The sequence below is a fragment of the Homo sapiens genome, chromosome Y (genome assembly GCF_000001405.40).
Source record: "Homo sapiens chromosome Y, GRCh38.p14 Primary Assembly".
Lineage (NCBI taxonomy): Eukaryota > Metazoa > Chordata > Mammalia > Primates > Hominidae > Homo > Homo sapiens.
In genome coordinates, this window is record NC_000024.10 from 850,225 (window position 1) to 856,167 (window position 5,943).

Sequence of the window (5,943 nt, forward strand, 5' to 3'; positions counted from 1 at the left end):
GCTCAGACCTGTAGTCCCAGCTATTTGGGAGGCTGAGGCAGGAGAATCGCTTGAACCTGGGAGGCGGAGGTTGCAGTGAGCCCAGATCGCACCACTGCACTGCAGCCTGGGCGACTGACCCAGACTGTGTCTGAAGGAAAGGAAGAAAGAAAGAAAGAAAGAAAGAAAGAAAGAAAGAAAGAAAGAAAGAAAGAAAGAAAGAAAGAAAGAAAGAAAGAAAGAAAGAAAGAAAGAAAGAAGCAAATGTACACTGCTGAGGAATCTCCTTTTCCTGTGGCCGGGGCAAGATTCTTTGCATTTTTCTCTGCAGGGTAAAAACAAAACCACACACACACACACACACACACACACACACACGCACACAGCAATAAGCTTTCATCCAGCCGGCACAAGACAGTTTCCTGGAGAGTCTGTACACAGTGATTGTGCTGGGGGCTCATTTGCATATTGGTTTAAAGTACCCTGCAAACGGGCATTTGCAGAGGGGCACGGGAGAGGCTACCGGCGAATTAAGAGCTGCAGAGACGAGGGTCTGTGGCCATCACCTTTGCAGCTGCAGGAGAGAGGAGGTGATTAGGGAAGCTCCGTGTTCCCCTCTGAGCCTGGCAGGTGCGTTGTCCCCACCCTGCCCCCAGCACCGCACAGTCCATTGCAATGCAGGCCCTGCTTTTGGGTTTAGCAAAGGTAACTTCCCCTGGCACCCCCAGGCTTCTGCTTCCAGCACAGCGACTGCGACGTTGTGTTTGCACCTCGGTCCTCATACAGAATTCACCCACCTTGCACTCAATCTTCCTCTCCCGGCGGTACCATTAATATTTTAATTTCATCAGAATTTCTGGAACTGGCTTGCCATCCTGAGCAACCTAGTTACCTGTCAGCCCCTATCAGCTTGTCATATTAGAGGGGATTGTCCTAGGAACCTAATCTGCTTTAAATGATTTTCGTGGGGTGTTGGTCTATAAATCATCTCGAGGCAGGCCTGACAACGCGAAGGTTTTGGTGAATAAACAAACCACACTTGTTTTATTTTCGGCAGGCACAGACTTTGCTTTATCAACTTCTTATTGATTTCCGTGCTCCAAGAGGTCAAAAAAATGTTTTTGCTTCTCCTTTACATACAAAAACATTATTCATAGCAGAGCTGTGGGCAGAGGCAACTCTCATTAAGATAAGTTCCAAGATTCGCAGGCGAGGTGGCTGGTGGGAGAAACGACACACACCTGTTTCAGCCAAGCCCTTGGTGGAGTTTGGAGTTTCCAAAACGTTGACTCTTCCTCTTTCTGGTCAAAATAGAAATTATATGGATATTAAGGAGCCCCAAGTCTCTGCAGGGATATGGAGGAACCCTGGACATACAAATACACACACACACACACACACACACACACACACACACACGGGCACCCACACTCACCACCCCATGCCAAGAAGATACACAGAAAACTCACTCACCTTTCACTCAAGTTTGCAAATTTGGAACTGACTTAATGAAGGAAAGAAAAGTTGCAGCTACAAAGTAACACAGAGCCAATGAAAAGACAAAAACCGCCATTAGATTTTCTTCTTTTCTACAGTTTTATTTTATGTTTAACAATTATCGTTTGGATCAGGCGCAGTGGCTCACGCTCGTAATCCCGGCGCTTTGGGAGGCTGAGGTGTGAGAATCAGAAGGCCAGAAGTTCAAGGCCAGCCTGGGCAACATAGCAAGACCCCATCTCCAAAAAAAAAAAAATACAAAAATTAGCTGGACCTACTGGTGCAGACCTGTATTTCCAGCTACTGGGGAGGCTGAGGTGGAAGGATCGTTTGAGTCCAGGAGGTAGAGGCTGCACTGAGCCGTGATTGCACCACTGCACTCCAGCTTAGGCAACAGAGCAAGACCCTGTCTCAAGAAAAAATCTCCATAATGATTGTACACATTTATGACATATAATATAATGTTTCCAAGCATGTGTATATCATGTAATGACAACTCACAGTAATTATGAGATCCAGCTGCTCAGAAATCTCATTTTCCGGTGGCTGAGGAATATGTATCTTTTTTTTTTTTTGAGACGGAGTTTCGCTCTTGTCACCCAGGCTGGAGTGCAATGGCATGATCTCGGCTCACTGCAACCTCCACCTCCCAGATTCAAGCAATTCTCCTGCCTCAGCCTTCCGAGTAGCTGGGATTACAGGCATGAGCCACCACGCCTGGCTAATTTTGTATTTTCAGTAGACACAGGGTTTCATCATGCTGGTCACGCTGGTCTTGAACTCCTGACTTCAGGTGATCCACCCGCCTCAGCCTCCCAAAGTGCTGGTATTACAGGCATGAGCCACCATGCCCTGCAATATGTATCTTCCCCTTTTCCATAAGTTATTGGAGTACAGGTGGTATTTGGTGACATGAGGAAGTTATTCAATGGAGATTTCTGAGAACGTGGTGCGCCCAACACCCGAGCAGTATACATTGTATCAAATTTGTTGTCTTTTATCCCTCGTCCCCTTCCCACACTTCCCACCAACAAAATCCTCTCTTTGGACTATTTTGTAATATACAATATATTCTTGTTAAGTATTGTCACCCTGCAGAGAATTAAAACAACAGAATTTAGTCCTATTTAGTCGTAACTTTGTACACATGGACCAACCTCTCTCCATCCCTTCTTTCTCTCTCCCTTCCCCAGCTTATGGTAATCACCACTGTGCTGTCTATTCCTAGGAGATCAACTCTTTTTTTATATAATTTATTTTTTGAGACAGAGTTTTGCTCTTGTCACCCAGGCTGGAGTGCAATAGCATGATCTTGGCTCACTGCAACCTCCGCCTCCCGGGTTCAAGCGATTCTCCTGCCTCAGCCTCCCCAGTAGCTGGGATTACAGGCATGTGCCACCACACCTGGCTACTTTTTGTATTTTTAGTAGAGACGGAGTTTCTCCGTATTGGTCAGGCTGGTCTTGAACTCCTGACCTCAGGTGATCTGCCCGCCTCAGCCTCCCAAAGTGCTGAGATGACAGGTGTGAGCCACCGTGCCCGGCCAGGAGATCAACTCTTTTAGCTTCCACATGGGAGTGAGAACTGGCTGCATTTGTCTTATTTCACTTCTGGGTATGCATCCGCAGAAAATAAAACCAGTATATCAAAAAAAAAAGGGGGGAGGTCTGCACCCCCATGTTCATTGCAAGGCTATTCACGAGAGCCAACATGTAGAATTAACCTAAGTATCAGTGGGGGATGGATAAAGAAAATGTGATACACACACACCATGGAATACTATTCAGCCATCAAAAAGGAAGAAGTCTCACCACTTTGCAACAACTTAACGTTAAGGGAAATGAGCCAGCACGAGGTTTTCTTTGGTGTTTGAACTCAAAGCAGGATGGTTGTTGTGCGCATAACATGATTGCTTTCCTTAGTCCTGAAAAGAGACAAATTTCTTTTTCCTTTTTTTGAGATGGAGCCTCGCTCTGTCACCCAAGCTGGAGTGCAGTGGCGTGATCTCAGCTCACGGCAACGTCTGCCTCCCGGGTTCAAGCGATTCTCCTGCCTCAGCCTCCCAAGTAGCTGGGGTTACAGGTGCCCGCCACCATGACCCGCTAATTTTTGTACTTTTAGTAGAGATGGGATTTCACCATGTTAGTCAGGCTGGTCTCGAACTCCTGACCTCAAGTGATCCGCCCGCCTCGGCCTCCCAAAGTGCTGGGATTACAGGCGTGAGCCACTGCGCCCAGCCCCAAAATACTTGCAAATACCGAAACAGGACAATACCAGTGCAGTGATGTATGATGATTTGATTCTGGAATTGCTGTTTTGAACGTGTAAGAGTCATAAATAGAAGAGGGAGATGACAAGAGGAACCGAGGACTGTGTTTATTTGTTTATTTTTTGAGACAGAGTTTCGCTGTTGTTGCCCAGGCTGGAGTGCAGTGGTGCGATCTTGGCTCACTGCAACCTCCGCCTCCTGGGTTCAAGCGATCCTCCTGCCTCAGCCTCCCGAGTAGCTGGGATGACAGGTGCACGCCACCACGCCCGGCTAATTTTTGTGTTTTTAGTAGAGACAGGGTTTCATCATGTTGGTCAGGCTGGTCTCGAACTCCTGACCTCAACTGATCTGCCCGCCTTGGTCTCCCAAAGTGTTGGGATTTCAGGTGTGAGCCACTGCGCCCTGCCAGGGGTGTATTTTTTTAATACAAAATGAGTGTACCAAATATTCAATTACCATACCCACGCTGTGACTGACTGTTGTCCAAAGGACCAGGTGCTCAGCCCGATGACCTATGCTGAACTTTCTCTAAAAAATCTTACTCCCAATTTCACATCAGTGTGATTTTTCACTCTTGACAGTAAAATGAAACAGCGTTGTTGACCTAAAATTCCAACCATAGGATCATTGACGTGTTAAAGATATTTTATAGTAAAAGTAATTCCTAGGTTCTGTGATCGTGTAAAAATGGCTTTCTCTCTCTCTCTCCCTCTTTATACTCTCTTCTTTCTTTTCTTTCTCCTTCCTCTTTCTCTTTCATTCATTCTTTTTCTTTCTGTCTCTTTCTTCCTTTCTTCCCTCCCTACTTTCTTTCCCTCCCTACCTCTCCCTTCCTTCTTTCTTTCCTTCTTTCTTTCCTTCTTTCCTTCCTTCCCTCCCTCCTTCCTTCCCTCCTTCCTTCCATCTTTCCTCATTTTCCTCTCCTCCCTCCCTCCCTCCCTTCCTTCCTTCCTCCTTTCTCCATTCCCTCTCTCTCTCCCTTCCTTTCTTTCCTTCCTTCCTTTCTATCTTCCTCCTTTCTTTTTTGTTCCTTTCTCTGTCTTCTTCTCCTCTCTTTCTTCCTTTCTCTTTCTCTCTTCTTTTTTCTTTTTCTATCCCTCCCTCCCTCCTTTCCTTCCTTCCTTCCCTTCCTTTCTCTTCCTTCTTTCTTTCTTTCCTCTTTCTTTCTTTTCCTTTCTTCTCTTTCTTTCTTTCCTTCTTTCTTCTTTTCCTTCCTTTCTTCCTTCCTTCCTCTGTCCCTCCCTCCTTTTCTTCCTTTCTTTCTCTCTTTCACAGGATCTCACTCTGTCATTCAGACCAGAGTGTAGTGGTGCAAACACAGCTCACTGCAGCCTCAAACTCCCAGGCTCAAGGAAACCTTCCACCTCAGACTCCAGAGTAGCTGGGGCCACAGACACACGCCACCATGCCCCACTACTTTTTTTCCAGTTTTTGTAGAAATGGGGTCTCACTTTGTAGCTCAGGCTGGTGTCGAATTCCTGGCCTCAAGCAATCCTCCTGCCTCAACCTCCTAGAGTGGTGCAAATCTTCACAGAGTCCAGCCGCATCTTTCAGGAATGCATTTCTGTTGGACTTGCCGTGCGTTTAACTGACAGTGAACCAGGATGTACTCAAACAAAAGTTCAATGACTGCCCAACAAAAACATCCCATATTTTAAAGTGTTTTTAAAAAATCAGGCTGATGGGGGTTGGGGGCACCTGCTTGTGTAAGAGGAAGCACATGTGAGTTTTGTAAACTCTGGATTTTGAAAACATCATCCATGACCCTTTTGCATTTTGGATTAAGGTTTTCTCTGGCTGATAATTGACTATCATTTCTGAATCCCCAAAAATAAATGTTATACATTTTAGCTGGGGTGGGTAAAATGGACAGAGTCAAAGCTCTTAAAAAGTGACTTTTTCAAGGATCTAGAACCAGAAATGCCATTTGACCCAGCAATCCCATTACTGGGTATATACCCAAAGGATTATAAATCATTCTACTATAAAGACACATGCACACGTATGTTTATTGCAGCACTATTCACAATATTAAAGACTTGGAACCAACCCAAATGTCCATCAATGATAGACTGGATAAAGAAAATGTGGCACATAGACACCATGGAATACTATGCAGCCATCAAAAAGGATGAGTTCATGTCCTTTGCAGGGACATGGATGAAGCTGGAAACCATCATTCTCAGCAAACTATCACA

At 45.6% G+C, this 5,943-nt stretch overlaps 2 annotated features.

Moving 5' to 3' along the window:
- Positions 591 to 1,341: an enhancer, noted in NCBI's record as "CNE8 PCR-amplified transgene fragment". NCBI's record gives its function as "enhancer in day 2 and day 3 zebrafish embryo skin, fin, central nervous system, muscle and heart" and the evidence as "EXISTENCE:transgenic organism evidence [ECO:0001131][PMID:21731768]".
- Positions 786 to 1,092: a conserved region, noted in NCBI's record as "conserved region; CRCNE00011103 more deeply conserved sub-region". NCBI's record gives the evidence for it as "EXISTENCE:sequence alignment evidence [ECO:0000200][PMID:21731768]".